The sequence below is a fragment of the Homo sapiens genome, chromosome 1, assembly GCF_000001405.40.
Source record: "Homo sapiens chromosome 1, GRCh38.p14 Primary Assembly".
In the NCBI taxonomy this organism is placed as follows: Eukaryota; Metazoa; Chordata; class Mammalia; order Primates; family Hominidae; genus Homo; species Homo sapiens.
The window spans coordinates 16,112,952-16,132,838 of record NC_000001.11 but is presented as its reverse complement, the minus strand read 5'-3'; the positions used below and the strand labels follow the sequence as shown (position 1 = coordinate 16,132,838).

The following is a 19,887-nucleotide window of genomic DNA, read 5'->3' as shown; positions in this document are numbered from 1 at the left end:
CACCCGTGCCCACCTCTCCCCATACTTGTACCCACCTCCTCTACACCTGTGCCCACCTCTCCCCGATACCTGTACCCACCTCCTTACACCCGTGCCCACCTCTCCCCATACTTGTACCCACCTCCTCTACACCTGTGCCCACCTGTCCTCAATACCTGTGCCCTCCTCCCCAATACCTGAACCCACCTCTCCCCATACCTCTGCCCACTCCTCCGCCTGTGCCCAGCTTTCCCCACACCTCTCCCCATACCTGTACCCACCCTCCCCACACCTGTTCCACCTCTCCCCACACCTGTGCCCACCTCTCCTACACCTGTGCCCACCTTCCCCCATATCTGTGCCCACCTCTCCCACATGCCTGGGCCCACTTACCTCTCACCTGTGCCCACCCCCCTACAGACAAGCCCATGATGATCATCACTGAGTACATGGAGAATGGGGCCCTGGACAAGTTCCTTCGGGTAAGGATGTGGGTTGTAGGGGGCGGGGATGCCTGGCCATTGAGCCCGGGGCTGGCCTGGCGGGTTCAGGGCTGGCCTGCAGCTGAGCGCCTGTGCTCCGGCAGGAGAAGGATGGCGAGTTCAGCGTGCTGCAGCTGGTGGGCATGCTGCGGGGCATCGCAGCTGGCATGAAGTACCTGGCCAACATGAACTATGTGCACCGTGACCTGGCTGCCCGCAACATCCTCGTCAACAGCAACCTGGTCTGCAAGGTGTCTGACTTTGGCCTGTCCCGCGTGCTGGAGGACGACCCCGAGGCCACCTACACCACCAGTGTAAGTTGGGGAAGGGGACCTCAAGGGAGAAGCGGCCTTCGCCCTGCATGGTGTCCTCTCACCTGCACACCTGGGCAGTGCTTCAGGAGGCAGAACACCTGTAGGAGTCCAGGGAGGGGTCGTGGGGCTTGGCTGCAATGGTCCTGGGGCCAGCCAGAGGGCACAGTGGTGACTGGGCCTGGGTTCCCTGCAGGGCGGCAAGATCCCCATCCGCTGGACCGCCCCGGAGGCCATTTCCTACCGGAAGTTCACCTCTGCCAGCGACGTGTGGAGCTTTGGCATTGTCATGTGGGAGGTGATGACCTATGGCGAGCGGCCCTACTGGGAGTTGTCCAACCACGAGGTGGGTGCCCTTGCCCTCCCCAGGCCTGTCCGGACCTGAACTCAAGCCCTTTACTCATCTCAAACTGCAGGGGCTGGGCAGAGGACAGTTTAGATGAACCTTCTTAGGCTTGCTCCATAAATGTTTATTTTTTTTTTTTGGAGACGGAGTTTTGCTCTTGTTGCCCAGGCTGGAGTTCACTGGCATGATCTCAGTTCACTGCAACCTCCACCTCCCAGGTTCAAGCAATTCTCCTGCCTCAGCCTCCCGAGTAGCTGGGATTACAGGCATGCGCCACCACACCCAGCTAATTTTTGTATTTTTAGTAGAGACGGGGTTTCACTATGTTGGCCAGGCTGGTCTCTAGCTCCTCGCTTCAGGTGATCCACATGCCTCAGCCTCCCAAAGTGCTGGGATTACAGGGGTAAGCCACCGCACCCAGCCCCGTAAATATTTCTTGAGGATCTACTGCGTGCCAGGCCTTGTGCTGGGTTCCAGGAGCTGATTCAGAGAGTGCAGAGATGAAAAAAGGAGTGGGGTGTACGTGTGTATCCGTGTGTCCATGCATGTGTGTGCATCCGTATGTGTGCACATGTGCATGCATGCATGTGTGTGTGTGTCTGTGTGCTTGGTGCCTCTCTCAGCCTGGTGGCCTGGGAGGCTTCTCAGAAGAGGTCACATCTCTGCCAAGACCAAGGGCACTGTAAGGCAGCCAGATGAGAGGGAGGGGAAGAGAGATGGGAGGGAGGCTGGGCTGAGGGTACACAGTGTGGCTGCTGCCTGGTGCCCTGTGAGGGAGCAGGGTCCCTTCTAGCTGGGAGCAATGGCGCATGCCTGTAATCCTAGCACTTTGGGAGGCTGAGGCAGGAGTATCGCTTGAGCTCAGGAGTTCGAGACCAGCCTGGACAACATGACGAAACCCCATCTCTACAAAAAATTAAAAAATTAGCCAAGTGTGTTGGCACGTGCCTGTAGTCTCAGCTACTCAGGAGGCGGAGGTGGGAGGATCACCTGAGCACAGGAGGTTGAGGCTGCCGTGAGGTGTGATAGCGCCACTGCACTCTAGCCTGGGTGACAGACTGAGACCCTGTCTCAGTCAAAAAAAAAAAAGTCCCTTCCAGTGAACTCTGGACACAGACCCTTAGGCATTTGCCCTTTGGGCAGCTCTGAAGGTTGGGTGGCAGCTCAAGAAAGGCCCTTCCTGTCTGTTTCTGGGATGTTCCTGTTCCCCTCCCCTCCCCTGCCCACCTCCATAGGCTGGAGGCTGCAGAGGGTTTCAGTGGCTTTCTGCAACAGCGCCCCTGACCTTCGTGCCCCGCCAGGTGATGAAAGCCATCAATGATGGCTTCCGGCTCCCCACACCCATGGACTGCCCCTCCGCCATCTACCAGCTCATGATGCAGTGCTGGCAGCAGGAGCGTGCCCGCCGCCCCAAGTTCGCTGACATCGTCAGCATCCTGGACAAGCTCATTCGTGCCCCTGACTCCCTCAAGACCCTGGCTGACTTTGACCCCCGGTGAGTTCTATGCCCTCTGCCCATGATGACCTCAATTTTCCTTCTGCAGACTCTTGAACCACTTCGGTAGAGTGGCCACCCAGGTGAAGCTGGTAGGGGGGGTGCTGGGGGCTAAGAGGTTATGTGTGGACTTGACTTAGACTGGACACGATGGCCCAGGAAATCCTAATAGAAGCAACCAGCTTATGTGTCTGTGTGCAGGGCACTGCGTGAGCACTTAATATGTTTTCATTCATTTAAACAACCTACGAGATGAGTCCTCCAGTGATCCTCATTTTGTAGAAGAAGAAACTGAGACACAGGGCGATTGAATATCTTACATGGCTGGAAGTGGTCAGGCTGGGATTGTGACCTCAGGATCTGGAATCTCTGCTCGTAGCATTTTATGATGTGGTAGTTATTGGTGGTGGTCCTGTTAGTAGGAGTGGAGGGGCAGCAGTAGTTACAGATGCTGAGCGCTCCCAACGTGCCAGGAGGTCTCATTGAACCCTACTTGACTGGGCTTCCCTGTTGCCCAGATAAGGAGACGGAGGCACGGGGCAGCCGAGTCAATCATCCAGGTTAGGGAGCAGCAGGTGCAGGGCCCAGGGTGGACTGGGTGCTGCAGCCCCTCACCTGCAGTGCTTCCTGTTGCAGCGTGTCTATCCGGCTCCCCAGCACGAGCGGCTCGGAGGGGGTGCCCTTCCGCACGGTGTCCGAGTGGCTGGAGTCCATCAAGATGCAGCAGTATACGGAGCACTTCATGGCGGCCGGCTACACTGCCATCGAGAAGGTGGTGCAGATGACCAACGAGTAAGTCAGGCCCCTTTCCGTCCCCCCTCGCCTCCCGCCTCCCACTCCAGAGGCTGCCTCCATGCCCCCCCCAGCCCTCTTCCCTGCCCCTCAATGCTCCTCTCTTTGTTCTTTCTCTTCTGGGAAGAGGCTCCTTGGAAGAGAAGGGCAGAACTCCGCCAGCAGCTGGCAGCTCTGGGTGCCCACTCTCAGCTCTCTCCTCTTCCTACATCCTTTACCAGAGTGGGGAAATAATAGTAACCGTAATCATAACAGTAGCTACTGTTTACTGAGGGCTATGTGCCGTCTCTGCTTGAGCACTTTGAATGAGAACCCAGCGGGGTGAGTCCTGTTAACAGGTGAGAAACAGGTGCAGGTGAGAAACAGATGCAGAGAAGTGCAGTGACCTGCCCAGGGTCCCACAGCCATGAGGGGGAGAGCAGGATTCCAGGCCCAGTCAGTCGGGATCCCAGAGCGCAGGGATCGGAGAGGTCATTGGTAGAGAAACAGGCTGAGATGTTACCGGCTTGCCTGAGGTCACACAGCCAGTTTGGGGCAGTCTTCTCCAAGATGCCCTGACTGCTGCCCAGGAGAGAGAACCCCTGGCCTACCCCGGGCACCTCTCTCCACTTGGTTGGCTCTCAGCCTGCAGTCCCACCTGGTGAGAAGTGCCACTTACTCTCTGCTGGCCCTGGGTTTGCCCCTTTGTCAAGCTGCCCCTTGGCAGCTCTTCTCCCCTTCCCAACTCCAGCATTGAGACTTTTCCCGGCATGGCCTTGGCACAGACACCTCCTCCTGTCCCAGGAAGGGGGAGACCCTATCCTCTTAGCCTTTTGTGCCTCTAAAAATAGTGGCCAGTTTCAACAACCCAGCTTGTGCATGGTCAAAGATCATGGCGGGAACAGACCGGGAGGCTGGGAGGTTTTGGGAACCGTATGGAGGGGATGACCTGGGCCTCCCATGGTTCTAGGTCACAGAAGTTCTGGGATTTGAGCCTGTTCATGAACATTCTCTAGGGCCTTTGGAAATTGCTCAGCTGGGCTCCCAACCTGCTGGCCAAGGCCATAGCCTCCCTCAGGGGACAGTCGGTGATGGGAAGCAGGCAGGAACAGAGCCGACCAGAGGGGAGGCGGGGACACGTAGGGAGGGGAGATGGATCACAGGATGTCTTTTGCTGCCCGCCAGCCCAGCAGGGCCACAGGCTTGGGCTCTGCACACATACCTGGGTTCAAGTCCCGCATCTGCCACTTCCTAGCGGGTGACCTTGATCAAGTTTGATGGGATTGCATGGGTGCAGCGCAGATGACACGACTGGTATACAGTGGGTGCTAAATCCTCATTGCTCTCCTCTTTTCCTCCACTCCCTTGCTTTCCTCCCCTAGCACTGTGCAAATGCCCCCTCCTTTTCTCCTTTTTCCTGGGAACATCCACCAGACCCTTTGCTCCTCCAGGGGCTCCCACCAAGGACAACACAGCCTCTCTTCTGGGGACCAGAGCTGAGGGCACGGAGAAGTGCTTATGGGAAACACATGTTCTTAGAAGCTTCCCTAAATAGCCCAGGGTGCTCCTCGCCAATTCCTTTCCCACGAGCAGGGACGGGGCAGTCTTGGATGGATGGAGGCTGTGTGTGTGTGCGCTGCAGTGCGCGTTGTTGTGAAAGGGCCTGGATAAAGGCAGGAAGTCATTCGGCGCCCCCCACCACCCACCACCCGCTCCTCCCACCAGCCACTGGTGCTCAGAGCTGGGGCCTGCATGCCTCCTCCTTCCCCTCTGCCTCTTTCCAAATAAATGGGGATCTCAAAGGACTTTTTAAAACCTGAAGCCTGGGTCTACACACGCCATGGGTCCCAACGGGAGACTTGGAGCTGGTAGCAGGGGAATGCGTGCCTTTCCCAATGGGATCAGGATTTAGGCTTCAGTGTCCCACCTCCTCCCCTTCTCAGCCTCCTGCCTTCTTGACTCCCTCCCAGGGGACCAGCTGCCTGGTCCCCTGGGGTCCCACAGCCACTGTCTCTTCTCCATTTGTGCTATTTTGGAGTCAGTTGGGTTTCTAGCTAGACTAGTGGTCCCAGATGTTTTGTGAGCAGCTGACGAAAGGCGTGGATGTTGCACCCCAGAAAAATAGCCCAACCCCAGGCTCTGTCTAGAGCTGGGACTACAGCATTTGCATCCTGTGTGGGGGTCGAGGGCACAGGCTGTAGATCTTAGGGTCTCCAGTGCCCTTGGCATAGGCTTGGCACTGAAGGAATGCTTGCTGAATGAATGAATGATCTGACACGTGAGGCTCCAGGAGCCATTTCTTACTCCCGTCTCCCTGCACCCAGGGCCAGAACACAGTAGGAGCTCACCGAGTATATGGCCTTGGAGTTTTCTACGCAGGGCCTCCAAAGCAAACTGTGCTCCCATCCTGTGAGATTAACCACTACCATTTGCAAGAGGGACCAGAGGTGGCCCAGCAACGGCCCAACCTCCGCTAAAGCATTCATTCGCTCATGCATTCATGCAGCAGACACTTCCTAGGGACCTACTATGTGCCAGGCCTATCCTGGACCCTGGGCAGGGGTGGGGGCGGGAGCAGGTGCTGTGGGGGTGATGGGCCCAGATGACAAGGTCTCAGCACTTGTCCTCCTGGAGCTTACAACCCACTGGTTTTTAAACCGGATGTCAGGTTTCTTCTGGGATTCAACCAAATGCAGACTCCTTGCCCCACCTGCGGAACTGCAAATCGAGTGAATCTGGGGTCAGGCCGGGGGTCCTGTCTCCTTCACCGTGGTCTGAGCGCTTTTCCAGGGACCACAATTTGAGACCTTCAAGTGTGTGGGAAACTGCTGCTTTTTCAGCACCTCCAACTGTATAGGTTAGAAACGTCCTGTGCAGGTAGCGTAGGAAGTTCTCCCAAATGTCCCAAATGTCTCGGCCTTCCTGCTGCTGTGGGAGCACCAGCCTCTGCGGGAGGTCCTGGAGTCCCCCCAACTCACCTGGGTCTGCCCTTCCCTGCTCTGCGCCTGTGCCGGGGCTCCCGGAGCCTGTGGGAAAGTCATGTCTGCAGAACTGCAACTAGGATCTTGCATCATATAATTAGCTCCCTTTACAGCCAAAAGTCGGCCCATAAAAACTTGGGTGTTTTCATGGGTTTGGGCTAGTGGGTGAGGACGGTGGAGGAGAAAACTCCCAAAGTGAGTAATAAATGCCCTCCTCACAGGTTCCTGGGAGCATAAGTGATTTCATGAGGGGACGGAGGGGCATGGAAGGGGGCCCCAGGAGAGCGTGTACCCTGTGGGGGTGGGAAAGCAGGGCTGTGGGCTCCTGGGCACATCTGTCCATCTGGTACTGATGCTGCCTTCCCCCTCGGCTGCTGGTTTTGAGGTCTCTCGCCCTCCAGATGGACAGTAGCTCCCATTTTACACGGGAGGAAACTGAGGTTTCCCCAAGGGAAGACATCTTCCTAGTCACTGGATCTGGTGACCCGCAAGCCTCACCCATGAAGACTCGCAAAGTTTAACCCTTCAAGTATTTCCCAAGTCCTTCCTTCATGATCAGCAGTGGGAACTTGGAAGGAGTGAGGGAGAAATGAGGCAGCAGGTGGGAAGAGACCTTGGGCAGAGAGGCTTTGAGCGACATCCCTAGAGAGTTCCTGGGAAGGAGGCCTGAGCTGGGGGCACTGGGAACAGACTAGGGGTGAGGGGAGGGAAGGCATTTGTTCATAGCTGGTTTGATTCCCAGCTCTTCCACCTCCTAGCTGTGTGACTTCAGGCAAGTCACTTTACCTCTCTGACCTCAGTTCTCTAATCTGCAAAATGGGGATGAAAAAGAGCACCTGCCTCACAGATAATTCAGAAGATTTGATTTATTTTTATTTTTTTAAAGCATCGTACAGAGTTGAGGCTTCTGTCGTTTTCCTAACTTTGTTGATGGTGGGCCACCTTGGCAAGCTTCTAGGCTGTGGCTCCTTCTCCCAGGCCTACCTAACCAGAGCTCTCTTGCCCTACAGGTCCCCAAGGCACCCTCTCCACCCTCCTCCTCTGCCTCCCTCCACTCCCCTCCCCAGCCGCCCACCGAGTCCTGTCCCCACCCAGCCCGGCCCCCTCCCCTGCTCCAGCCCCTAACTCTCCCTCTCTCCCTCCCGGCCCACAGCGACATCAAGAGGATTGGGGTGCGGCTGCCCGGCCACCAGAAGCGCATCGCCTACAGCCTGCTGGGACTCAAGGACCAGGTGAACACTGTGGGGATCCCCATCTGAGCCTCGACAGGGCCTGGAGCCCCATCGGCCAAGAATACTTGAAGAAACAGAGTGGCCTCCCTGCTGTGCCATGCTGGGCCACTGGGGACTTTATTTATTTCTAGTTCTTTCCTCCCCCTGCAACTTCCGCTGAGGGGTCTCGGATGACACCCTGGCCTGAACTGAGGAGATGACCAGGGATGCTGGGCTGGGCCCTCTTTCCCTGCGAGACGCACACAGCTGAGCACTTAGCAGGCACCGCCACGTCCCAGCATCCCTGGAGCAGGAGCCCCGCCACAGCCTTCGGACAGACATATGGGATATTCCCAAGCCGACCTTCCCTCCGCCTTCTCCCACATGAGGCCATCTCAGGAGATGGAGGGCTTGGCCCAGCGCCAAGTAAACAGGGTACCTCAAGCCCCATTTCCTCACACTAAGAGGGCAGACTGTGAACTTGACTGGGTGAGACCCAAAGCGGTCCCTGTCCCTCTAGTGCCTTCTTTAGACCCTCGGGCCCCATCCTCATCCCTGACTGGCCAAACCCTTGCTTTCCTGGGCCTTTGCAAGATGCTTGGTTGTGTTGAGGTTTTTAAATATATATTTTGTACTTTGTGGAGAGAATGTGTGTGTGTGGCAGGGGGCCCCGCCAGGGCTGGGGACAGAGGGTGTCAAACATTCGTGAGCTGGGGACTCAGGGACCGGTGCTGCAGGAGTGTCCTGCCCATGCCCCAGTCGGCCCCATCTCTCATCCTTTTGGATAAGTTTCTATTCTGTCAGTGTTAAAGATTTTGTTTTGTTGGACATTTTTTTCGAATCTTAATTTATTATTTTTTTTATATTTATTGTTAGAAAATGACTTATTTCTGCTCTGGAATAAAGTTGCAGATGATTCAAACCGATCTTGGCTTTCAGTCTTGGGAAAAGCAGTGGGGTCCCAGAGCTTCCTGGGTGGGAGTTGAGGGGCTGAGGGTTCCCCCCAAACCCCTAGTGTTTAAACAGAGATTCGTGCACAAGGCAGACACGTCACTTAACCCTGGGAGCAGGGGTGGGTGGGAGGTGGGCAGGGGGCCGGGAAGCAGGTTCTGCCGAGCCCGGCCTCCATGCCAGCAGGCCCCAATCACCTTTGATCTCCAGGCTGCTCAGAGTCTTCGGGAGGGCTGGGAGGTAGGAGAACAGCAAGAGCCGCCGTCAGCTTCCCTCCCACGGCTCCCCGGAGCTGTCGAAATAGATCCTTCAACCATCCATGTACAGCTCTGAGGTTTACACAAGCTTTTCACAGGTTTCGGCTTGTCGGAACCTCAACACTTTGTTATGAGTTTTGTGGGCGGCCCCATTTTACAGAAAAGGAAAACCAAGCTGGAGCCCAGCAACTGGGTTTGTTCAAGGCCACACAGCAAGTTAGGGGCAGAGGCCAGAATTGAAAGCAAGGTCAGAAATCTCAGTGGGATGCTTTTCTCATAGATGAGGAGATGGAGGCTCAGAGACATGCAGCGACTTGCCCAAAGTCACACAGCAGTCTCAAGAAAAGCCAGAGTTCTAATTTCTTTTTTTTTTCTTCTTTTTTTTGAGACGGAGTCTCACTCTGTCGCCAGGCTGGAGTGCAGTGGCACGATCTTGGCTCACTGCAACCTCTGCCTCCCGGGTTCAAGCGATTCTCCTGTCTCAGCCTCCCGAGTAGCTGGGACTATAGGCGCGCACCACCACACTCAGCTAATTTTTGTATTTTTAGTAGAGATGGGATTTCACCATGTTGGCCAAGATGGTGTTGATCACTTGACCTTGTGATCTGCCCACCTCTGCCTCCAAAAGTGCTGGGATTACAGGCGTGAGCCACTGCGCCCAGCACCAGAGTTCTAATTTCAAACCTGAGCCTTCTCCACTCTACCGGGTTGCAGCCCTGCATGTCAGAGGTCGTTCATAGTGGGGGTTAGGAAGGTGTCAAACACAGGTCACCAGGAACGTAACCAGGGAGCAGAGATGATCTGAGGCCCAGGAGGAAGACTTCCTGGAGGAGGTGGTCCCAGAGCTGAGACCTCAGGGACTACTAGGAATTAACCAGCGAAGCCAAGGGAGGGTGATGCAGAGTGAGGCGCGGGGGCGTGAAACCACATGGTTGTGCAAGGGAACCACAAGCAATTTGGTGTTATTAAGGCATGACGTGAGGTGCTGGAGAAGTCTCTAGGGCCTTGTAAAGCAGGCCCAGGAGTGGGGATTTCAAGTTGAGGGCAATAAGGAGTCATTGAAGGTTTCAAGCAGGGAGTGGCATGATTGTTGTCACTGGTAGAGGCAGGTCTGCAACCCAGAGCTCCTGACTCAGCCTGGAGCTTTGGGGAGATACAGGAGAGGCGCTGGCAAAAGTCGAGAGGGTGTTCGGCCTGCCCTGGGGTCTCAAAGCTGGCATGCTCTGCCCTGGCCCCTGCTGCTGCAGGAGAGCTGCCACCCTCTGGGTCCTGGCCCACTGGGCATCCATGAGACACCTGACTGTGTCAGGTGCGGCTGGGGTTGGTGAGCTATGGGAGTGCAGGGAGCACCTGGCTGGGCCTTCCTCCCATTAGTGTTGGGCCACCTGAGTGTGCTGGGCATGATGGCTGAGTCAGGCCTTCCTGGTGCCTGACCCTGGCCTGGCCTGACCCAGGTGGCCACTGTAGCTCTGTGGCTGGGCTATGGCTACTGTTGCTACCACTGACAAAGCTGTTGGCCCAGCAGGGAATAAGCCTGCAGCTTGCAAATCCACAAAAATCTGGGCTATGAGGGCACATCAAGACCAGGCCTGAGTCCCATTCCCAAAGCAACTCAGCCATGGCCCTGCTGATGAGCAGGAATGAACTCAGGAAGTGGCTCAGCATGGGGGGAGGTGGCCTCGTGTGCTCTCTCCCTTGAAGTCCTGGACATAAGACCCTTCCAAGGGCATGTGAGAACCCATAAACCTGTGGGCCACGGACAGGTCCGATGCTCAAAACCCAGTGAGCAGCTGTCTGCAGTCTCCAATGGACCCTGCAATTGGCAGGAGGGGAAACTTTATTTTTAAATTAAAGCAAATCCAGATCTGTCTCCTAGAGGGCCTAGATGCAGGAACACCCCTGTAGCAATAAGAACACCCAGCCCGCACATCTTGCTTCCTAAAAACCATTCTCCAATGAAAGGGACCAGGGCTCCTTAGAGAAATGGCTGATTCTGGGGCTGAAGCAGGGAAAATACAAGATGAGCTGGGAGCATCTTGGAGTATCAGAGAGTAAAGAAGTGCTCAAAAATAAACAGGTGGGGCTGTGCCAGAGACACACAGGAGCCAGCCCTAAAGAACTCCCAGGGCCTAAACCTAGAACAAGCTGAGCAACAAAACGATGAGGTATTAGATTAAATCCAAAGTCAAAAATAAATATTCACGAGTCTATACTGAGATAAATAAATGATTAAAGGCTGGGTGCAGTAGCTCACGCCTGTAATCCCAAAACTTTGAGAGGCCGAGGTGGGTGGATCGCTTGAGCTCAGGAGTTTGAGATCAGCCTGGCCAAGATGGCGAAACCCCGTCTCTATCAAAAATACAAAAAATTAACCAGGCATGGTGGCACGTGCCTATGGTCCCAGCTACTCAGGAGGATGAAACGGGAGGATCGCCTGAGCCTGGGAGGTGGAGGTTGCAGTGAGCCGAGATTGTGCCACTGCACTTCAGCCTGGGCAACAGAGTGAGACCTCATCTCAAAAAATAAAAAAAAAAAAATGCTTGAATAAATAAATAAGTGGAGGGAGCCTAGACAAATCTTCCTTACAGATGAATTTCAAAGGGGTGGATTCTTTTCCCTCTAGTGGGTAAAGCTTACTTCCCCACTGCCTGGACTGCGGACTGGACACCCTTCCAAAGAAAGGCAGTAGGGAGGTATAGAAAGGGTTAAAAAAAATAAGAAAGAAAACAAAAAGTAACTTTACAGTGGAGAAACCTGGCAAACACCACCGTAACCAAGTGATCAAAGTTAATATCATCAGAGAAAAAACAAACAAACCAACATTGAGCTTGAATTGAAGATCAGGTATCAGCAAACACTTACACAAGGCTTTCTGGGCACCACCCACTGTTCTAAGCACTTAGCCTGTGTTTACTTATTTCATTCTTCCAACAGTCCTTCAAGGTAGATGCTATTAATATCCCATTTTACAGATTTGAACACCGAGGGGAGGGAGGTTACATAACTGGCCAGAGCCGCCCTCTCCCCTCTCTGCCATCATGGACACTTCCCTAGATAAGGTCTGAGAAGCACTGGTTCTGGGGAAACTGAGGCAACATAACCTGCCCATGGTCTCCAAATGCCACCACATCCCACACCCCAGGTATCTAGATAGTTTGCTGCTCTGTCCCTTCTCTCAGTGGCCAGTTCCTGCTCTATGCCAGGCTGGGCACAAGGTCACAAAGATGGATAAGGGCCCTGTCTGCCCTCATGGGACTCAGTCTGGTGGGGGCAGCAATGGTAATAGAGTAGGACCCAGGCTAAGAAGGGGCAGAGCTGGGTGTTACAGGAGCCAGAGGTTGGGGCAGGGATGGGGGAGGGGCACTTGACCCAGCCTAGAAAGTCCAGGCAGGCTGCTTGGAGGAGGAGCCATCCAAGCTGAGGTGGAGGTCAAGTGAGAGTCCACCAGGCGGAGGAAGAAGTGTCCCAGAAGAGCCTGGCTCTGACTCCAGACCTCTGTGGGTGGGGCTTGAGTCTCCCCTCCAACATCTGGGCCCCATTTGACCAAGACAAGATTCCTCCATCTGCTATGCCACCCTAACCCCTGGCTGTTGTGTCAGGAGCAGCTGTAGGACAGCAGCCCTGCCCTCATTCCCACCCCTAGCAGAACCTTCATCTCTGATTTTAGCCTTCTCTGCTGAGAAGTGGGCCTGCAGCCCTTTCTGGGTTCTGAGCTGCAGGGACCTTGGTGGGCCTTTGATGCATCCAGCAAAGCCCTGAAGGAGGTGAAGGCAGTGGTGACTGGGGCATTGGGTAGGGAGATGCCTGCTTTCTCTGCTGCTCCCAGTCTGCATGGCAAGTTAAAATCGTGTCGCCAGGCACCAGCCCGAGATTTCCTAATTAATTAGCAAATTCTGGAGGGACAGGCAAGCTCTCTGCTCGCCTCCCCATTCACACCCCCTCAGCTCCAGCTGCAGCCCAGGGCCTGGGATGGGGCCTTGGGCACCATAGATGCTGCTAGAACAGGGGGCAAATGAATGTGTACGGGAAGTGCTTGAGTCCTTAGCTCCGGCCCTCTGTGCCTTTGCCCATTCTGTGCATCGCGCCTGCATCGTCCCTCCCCGGAACTATGTCTGGTACCCAGTAGGCCCTCAATAAACATTTGTTCAATAAACAAATGAACTGTGGGGGACAAGGACTGGGCTTTTGAGATCCAAGAGCCCTGTGGAGCTGGATATGGGTTTTGGGAATGTGGTGAGTGCTGTGCAATGGTCCTGGGCTCCCTCTGGCTGGCCGGGAGGGACCACAAAAGCTGGTAAGGAGAAGCAGTTGAATGTTTCTGAACACCTACCATTGTAGGTGGTGGGCGTTCCTCTAGCATTGCCTGTTCCTAGAGGAGTTGCTAATTAATTAGGAAATCTAAGGCTGGTGCCTGGCGACACGGTTTTAACTTGCCACGGTGCCAGTGAGTGTGCCATGCCAGTGATCATGCCCAGCCCAAGACCCACACCGTCTTATGCAAGGGTCACAATGACCCTGAGGGGCATACATTTATCCCCATTTTGGGGACCCTGGGGCTCAGCGAGGTTACAGTAATCAGACCAAGTTCCCACAGCTAGGAGGTGACAAAGCGGCATAGGAGACAAGAGTCAGCTCATCCCACTGCCTGCTGCTCGGTGACATTTGGGGACCTTGGGGTTCTTTTCAGGAAACGGCAGGAAGACCCTTGGACTGGGAAGGGAAGACAGAGGTTCTGTTGGGCGCCTACTATTGACTTGGCTGTGGACTCCTGGGCATGTCCCTTGTGTCACGGGGGCTCAGTTTGTCCGTCTGTAGTGAGGAAGGCTCCAGGAAGTCTGTCCTGGCTGAGATGAGGGGCCCCTGCCCCCACCACAGAGTTGCCCCCTCCCCACTCCTGGCACCCTCTCCCCAGGCAGCCCTGGGCAGCCCCAGGTAGCCCGGCCAGCAGGCCCCACTCCAGCCCTCTGGGTCTGGCTTTCCAGTCCAAACCGTCAGCCAGTCTCTGTCGGCAGAACCAGACCCAGTTTCTGGGAAGCTGCAGCCACATCCCACCCCTGCCTGGGGTGGGGGCCCCCTTTCTCCTGCTGGGCCCGGGCCCCATTTCAGCAGCCTCATCACATTCCCCACGGCCTCAGCAGCCTGATGGATGGATGGATGCAGCTTCCACACTGGGCTGGCAGAGCAGGCGGCTGCATGATCAGGTCTCCTGCTGGGCGGAGGGGCCTTTCCCCCAGGACCAGGCCTCATGGGCCCGGCCAACCAATCCCAGCATCTGGGCACAGGACACACTTCCCCAGACTCTGCACCCCTCCCCTGTACTCTAATGCGGTCTAGACTCCCGGACCTGCCCTCAGTTCCCCATGAGCCCTCGCCCACCCCCGCACACATCCCTCCCTATTTCTGTCTGTGGAAAATACACCCACCCTTCCAGGCTCAAATCAAATCACCCATTTTCCAAGAGACCTTTGCAGGCCAGGTGTGGTGGGTTACGTCTGTAATCCCAGCACTTTGGGAGGCCGAGGTGGGTGGATCTTCTGAGGTGGGGAGTTCGAGACCAGCCTGGCCAACATGGTGAAACATTGTCTCCACTAAAAATACAAAAGTTAGCTGGGCGTGGAGGCGCATGCCTGTAATTGTAGCTACTCAGGAGGCTGCGGTAGGAGAATCGGAGAATCGCTTGAACCCAGGAGGTGGAGGTTACAGTGAGCCAAGATCATGTCACTGCACTCCAGCCTGGGCAACAAGAGCGAGTCTCCATTTCAAAAAAAAGAGAGAGAGACTTTTGCAGAGCCCGCTCTGCTGCCAGGCAATGGGGACACATTAACCCTGCCTCCCTCAGGCTCCTATCGTGGCCGGCTGTGGATCACAGAGGGCTTGAATGACACTCAGGTGTGTCTGTCTGGCCCTCTCCTCTGAGCTTGTGTGTGTGTGTGTGTGTGTGTGTGCACGCGTATGTAATAAAATGCCAATAGCTAATAATTATTAAGCGCATTGCATGTGCTGCCACTGTTCAAAGTGTTTCCCAAGGATTAACTCATTTAATCCTCCCAAAAACTCTGTGACCTAGTCCTACTACTGCCCCATAAGCTGGGGGCCATATCTCCCGTCTGTCCAGGACAGTCCTGGCTTTGGCCTGTTGTCCTGGTATAATTGGTTGTAATAGCTCCCCCTTTCGCCTTCTGTCTTTAAGTGGACAATAATTGATCCAGTCACCCTATCATGAAGCGCAGAGAAGTGAAGGGTTTGCCCAGAGCTCCACAGCTAGCAAGTGGCAGCGCCAAGGTTCGAGCCCAGCCCCTTGCCACAGGGCTTTGCTCTAAGCTATCGGTGAATTTCCCAGTGAGTGAGCCTAGGTCTCCTTGTGCTTTTCTCTCGACCCTCCTTTTATTTTACAAGATTCTTTTTGTTGTTGTTTTTTATTTTTTCCATTTTATCACATCTGACTCAGTCTCTACACAAGATTCTTGAGGTCTGCTGAATGCCACCCACTGCCTGGAGCTCTTCCCCACATCCTCAGCACGATCTTACCAGCTCGTGAGTAACACCCTGGAAGAGGGTGCCCCCATCACTCATTTTTTTTTTTTTTTTTTTGAGAGGGAGTCTCACTCTATTGCCAGGCTAGAGTGCAGTGGCGCGATCTTGGCTCACTGCAACTTCTGCCTCCTGGGTTCAAGTGATTCTCCTGCCTCAGCCTCCTGAGTAGGGATTATAGGCGTGCGCCCCCACGCCCAGCTAATTTTTGTATTTTTTAGTAGAGACGGGGTTTCACCATGTTGGTTGGGCTGGCCTCGAACTCCTGACCTCGTGATCCGCCTGCCTGGGCCTCCTAAAGTGCTGGGATTACAGGCTTGAGCCACCGCGTCCCGCCTCCCATCACCCATCTTAAAGGTGCATCCAACCTCTACCACATAGAGGCATGTTTCATCTGTGCCGCTTTTGACCTTGCTTCTGTGGTCCCACGTGGTGAGATACTTTTCTATCACTGACCCCTGTCTCCCACTCAGTGGCCAGCTCCATGAGGGTGGGGACAGGCCTGTTTTTCCCTTAGATCCCCAGACCTGACACCCGGTGGGTACCCCCACATATTTGATGAAGGAATCAATGGACTCAATGAATGCTGCTCCATGCTGGGGAGACAGCAAGGGGTGGGAGATCCCAGGCCGCACCGTCACAGAACTCCTAGTCGCTGGAGAGAATATTCAAAAGATAAATGTGATATGACAGGCGTGGGGGCTGTGGGACCCAGGAACTGAACAACGTGCTCAGCCTGTGGAGAGTCAGAAAGGCTTCCTGGAGGAGGCGGTATCCAAGCTGAGATCTGAAGGAAGAAACGGTAGGGAAGAATGAAGGTTATTCCAAGGCTAGGGAACAGCAACTGTTTGGCTCAGAAGCTGAAGGAAGGCCAGTGTGGCTGAAGGCAGAGGGCAGGGGGCCGGGTGGCAGGTAGGGACAAGACTGGAGGGGTGGGCAGGGTCTGAGCCTTGTTGCTGTGCTGAGGATTTTATTTTTATCCTAAGGGTGGGCACCAGGAAGCCGCTCAATGCCCCTTAACTGACAGGTGGTGGTGGTGAGCCAGGATAAAAGGCAAGAATATCTCAACTTTTAATTTTTTCAAAACGGCGCTGTCCTCTTTTAAAAAAACGGTCTAAGTGTTGACTCACACCAAAGAAAAGTCGATTTATTTGCCTGTCCTTAGTGGCATTGCAGCCAATGCTGCCTGGCCCTGCCGGCCTGCTCTTCAGAACCACGGCCGGTGGGGCTGAGCCACCGAGGACGCAGGTGTCCTGGCCCTGCCCCCACGACCCCCGCCCCAGCCATCTGTCCCACCCGCAGTCTGGGCGGCTGGGAAGGTCCATTGTGGCGGCCTCTGACATCACAGCAGGGGGCAGCGTGATGTCACAGGGCCCCATTGTGGCTGCGCAGGAGGGTGTCCCCCACCAGAGGCCTGCTCCCCACCCCCAGCCTCCAATCCTATTAAGCACGGGCTGGGGACAAAGGAAGGCGCTTTGTGTTTTACCCATGTCTGAGGGAGGGGACGGCAAGAGGTTGTGCATTCCAGAGCCGCCTCCCCCCGCCCCCACCAGCTGGGCCTCCAGGTCAGACTGGAGACCCTGCTGCCACCCCCGTGGCTGTCTCCATGCCCCAGCCCTCCTGCCCCCCAGTCCCCCACGAGGGAGACCACAGAGATAAAGGAGCTCCAGGTCCCCTGCCTCCTGCCCGCGCCACTGTCAAATCTAGGGCCAGATCCCAGGCAGAGGAGGCTGCAAGCAGAACCTGTGGGGTGAGGAGGAGAGCCCTGGGGGGCCTCCCAGCGGGAGGAGGAGGGGGCCAGGAGAAGGAGGCCACAAGTCTGCTGGAAGATAAGAAGACCCCAATCCCTGAAAGACAGGCCTGGGGGAAGCAACCTCAGGGCACAGGTGGGGGACAGAGGCCTAGAGAAAGACAGGGACTTGTCACCCAGGGCACCAATGAGCACTTATTAAACATCTACTGAGAGCTACACTGGTCTGTGTGGGGGTCATTTAATCTCACAACCCTGGAAGGTAGTGGCTGGCACCAGCCCCAGGCCTGGCTGCTCTGTACAGGCACTTAGAGAGGGAAGCCTCTCATGGGGACAGCTTGGGGACAACTTGGCAGCCCCCTCCTTCTCCCAGGTGTCCCTGAGTCTCCAAGGTTGGAGCTTTGGGGTCAGAGGACTGATTTGCAGGTCCTCCTCTGCCACTAACTTGCATGTCCTCCCTTTGCTGAGCCTCTGTTTACTCGTCTGTAAAATGGGCCTGACAGTACCTCCCTTACGGGGTGTGGGGGAGTCCGGATGAGAGTGTGTGGGCATCCAGAATGCTACTCACACCTCGCCCCACGCTCAGCTGGGGTGCAGGTATTTCCCTAATCCTGACACTCCAACCACTCCAACCTCTGTCTCTCCTTGGACTCCAGTCCCCAGCCAAGCCCCCTTCCAGGCTGGCATCGGCACCCTTTAATGGACCTGTCTGGGCCCTAGGCTGGGAGGAGAGAGCGACTGACCATGGGCGCCCGGGCCGGGGGAGGCCAAAGTTTCAGGAGAGGCCTCGGCACACCCGCCTGTATGGTGTGAGCTTCTCTATCTTTGGCCGAGTGCCTGGGCATGCAAGGAGACCGGGGGCGGCTCAGTTTCGGGCAACAAAGCCCCCTTTCTCCCCAGCTGGAGGAATGCCTGGCACCCCTCCCGCCTCTGCCTTGTTCCATATCTACTGTCAGGACCCAGACCCCAGTGTTCACTCTGTGGAGCCCAGGCAGAGCCCGAGAGGCAGCCATGGCCCTTTATGGGGTGGGAGCACCACCACCCTCCTCAGCACTGTTCCCCCACCTTCACATGCCCCACTACATACATGCACATGCGAAGGCATGCAGCCCTGGCTCCCCAAACAGCCCGGCCCTTGGGTTGGTCACAATCAAAGCAGTCTAGGACAAAGGTGTCCCCAGCTGGCTGGGAACCGAGAGGGGCCCATGGAGAACCACGTGGGCAGTGCCCACCTACGCCTGTCCCTGATTATTATTATTATTATTATTATTTTTGAGATGGAGTCTCACTCTTTTGCCAGGCTGGAGTGCAGTAGCGTGATCTTGGCTCACTGCAACCTCTGCCTCCCGGATTCCAGCGATTCTCCTGACTCAGCCTCCTGAGTAGCTGGGATTACAGGCGCCCGCCACCACGCCTGGCTAATTTTTGTATTTTTAGTAGAGACGGGGTTTCATCAAGTTGGCCAGGATGGTCTCCATCTCTTGACCTCGTGATCCACCCGCCTTGGCCTCCCAAAGTGCTGGGATTACATGCGTGAGCCACCGCGCCTGGCCCTACTTTTTTTTTTTTTCTTGAGATGGAATCTCACTCTGTCACCTTGGCTCATTGCAACCTTCACCTCCTGGATTCAGGTGATTCTCATGCCTCAGCCTCCAGAGTAGCTGGGACTATAGGCGTGCACCACCACATCCGGTTAATTTTTGTATTTTTAGTAGAGATGGGGTTTCACCATGTTGGCCAGGCTGGTCTCAAACTCCTGGCCTCAAGTGATCCACCTGCCCTGGCCTCCCAAAGTGCTGGGATTATAGGCATGAGAAAACGCACCTGGCCTAGGCTAGATCTTTTTTTTTTTTGAGACGAGTCTCGCTCTATTACCGAGGCTAGAGGGCAGTGGCGCGATCTCAGCTCACTGCAACCTCCACCTCAAGCAATTCTCCTGCCTCAGCCTCCCCAGTAGCTGGGATTACAGGCATGCAACACCACGCCCGGCTAATTTTTGTACTTTTAGTAGAGATGGGGTTTCACCGTGTTGGCGAGGATGGTCTGGAACTCCTGACCTCAAGCGATCTGCCCACCTCGGCCTCCCAAAGTGCTGGGATTACAGGTGTGTGCCACTGCACCCAGCCTGTCACTGATTTTTTGGATCAGTATTGGCTTGAGAAACTCCGGAGTGGGAGACCCTGACTCTGTCCAAGCCCCTCATTTTTACTAAAGAAGGTGTGGAGGCCCAGAGAGCAGGGGTTGCCCAAGGCCACAGAGCCTGACTGGGCACGGACCAGAATCAGGGAAGGCTGGTGAAGGCCACCTAAGTGCTCTGGTGGGGCCGCACCACCAGCTCAGCCCAGGGCAGGAAGGAGAACTGGCCTCCCCGGTGATGGTGGCACCCTTTGTATAGATGAGAACACTGAGACTCCAAGAAGAGAGGCCCAGGGTCACCCAGAGGAGCAGAGTGAGAATTAAAGCTCCAGTCCATGGGTAGGGAGGGGGACAGTGAGCCCCCAAGTCTCCCCCTGGGCACTACAGACCCAGCACAGCCCCAGGCCTCAGCTGGAGACTGCTCGGTGCTCAGGCCCGGCTGCTGCCCTGGCCTTGACCCCTGAGTGGGGGAGCTGCCCCTCCTGCCACAGCCCTGCCGGACTCTGCCCAGACACCTCAGGAATGCAGGGGGAGGGGGACTCAGAGAAGAGGGACCTGGGATCCGGGGTGGATGGAACAAAGAAGCCATGTATCTGGGCTCTCTCTGCACCCCCAGCTGGACCACAGTTGGCAGAGGGAGGCCCCCAGGGGTGGCTCAGGCACGTGCCATCGTGTGCTGTGTGACC

The 19,887-nt window shown here is 55.7% G+C and overlaps 1 protein-coding gene across 5 annotated transcripts in view, besides 6 other annotated features; it reads left to right on the top strand.

The window, feature by feature from the left end:
- Positions 1-8,502, top strand: part of EPHA2 (EPH receptor A2) — a 31,733-nt gene extending 23,231 nt beyond the window's left edge. For all 5 annotated transcript variants that reach the window (NM_001329090.2, NM_004431.5, XM_047448272.1 and 2 more), the window contains 6 exons: positions 400-461; positions 566-775; positions 969-1,118; positions 2,420-2,613; positions 3,250-3,405; positions 7,519-8,502. In NM_001329090.2, the coding sequence (NP_001316019.1) occupies positions 400-461; positions 566-775; positions 969-1,118; positions 2,420-2,613; positions 3,250-3,405; positions 7,519-7,624 (878 nt within the window). In that variant the 3' untranslated portion in view covers positions 7,625-8,502. The remainder of the gene's footprint in view (positions 1-399; positions 462-565; positions 776-968; positions 1,119-2,419; positions 2,614-3,249; positions 3,406-7,518) is intronic.
- Positions 1,921-2,122: a silencer, noted in NCBI's record as "fragment chr1:16457212-16457413 (GRCh37/hg19 assembly coordinates)". NCBI's record gives its function as "represses an EF-1alpha promoter that drives an FKBP-Casp9 reporter gene in an ReSE screen in K562 erythroleukemia cells {active_cell/tissue: K562}" and the evidence as "EXISTENCE:reporter gene assay evidence [ECO:0000049][PMID:32094911]".
- Positions 9,564-10,243: an enhancer, noted in NCBI's record as "H3K27ac-H3K4me1 hESC enhancer chr1:16449091-16449770 (GRCh37/hg19 assembly coordinates)". NCBI's record gives its function as "activates a minimal SCP1, AML or CMV promoter by ChIP-STARR-seq in naive H9 embryonic stem cells {active_cell/tissue: H9 hESC(naive)}" and the evidence as "EXISTENCE:reporter gene assay evidence [ECO:0000049][PMID:30033119]".
- Positions 12,178-12,734: an enhancer, noted in NCBI's record as "H3K4me1 hESC enhancer chr1:16446600-16447156 (GRCh37/hg19 assembly coordinates)". NCBI's record gives its function as "activates a minimal SCP1, AML or CMV promoter by ChIP-STARR-seq in primed H9 embryonic stem cells {active_cell/tissue: H9 hESC(primed)}" and the evidence as "EXISTENCE:reporter gene assay evidence [ECO:0000049][PMID:30033119]".
- Positions 14,006-14,679: an enhancer, noted in NCBI's record as "H3K4me1 hESC enhancer chr1:16444655-16445328 (GRCh37/hg19 assembly coordinates)". NCBI's record gives its function as "activates a minimal SCP1, AML or CMV promoter by ChIP-STARR-seq in primed H9 embryonic stem cells {active_cell/tissue: H9 hESC(primed)}" and the evidence as "EXISTENCE:reporter gene assay evidence [ECO:0000049][PMID:30033119]".
- Positions 16,015-16,856: an enhancer, noted in NCBI's record as "H3K27ac-H3K4me1 hESC enhancer chr1:16442478-16443319 (GRCh37/hg19 assembly coordinates)". NCBI's record gives its function as "activates a minimal SCP1, AML or CMV promoter by ChIP-STARR-seq in primed H9 embryonic stem cells {active_cell/tissue: H9 hESC(primed)}" and the evidence as "EXISTENCE:reporter gene assay evidence [ECO:0000049][PMID:30033119]".
- Positions 17,698-18,540: an enhancer, noted in NCBI's record as "H3K27ac-H3K4me1 hESC enhancer chr1:16440794-16441636 (GRCh37/hg19 assembly coordinates)". NCBI's record gives its function as "activates a minimal SCP1, AML or CMV promoter by ChIP-STARR-seq in primed H9 embryonic stem cells {active_cell/tissue: H9 hESC(primed)}" and the evidence as "EXISTENCE:reporter gene assay evidence [ECO:0000049][PMID:30033119]".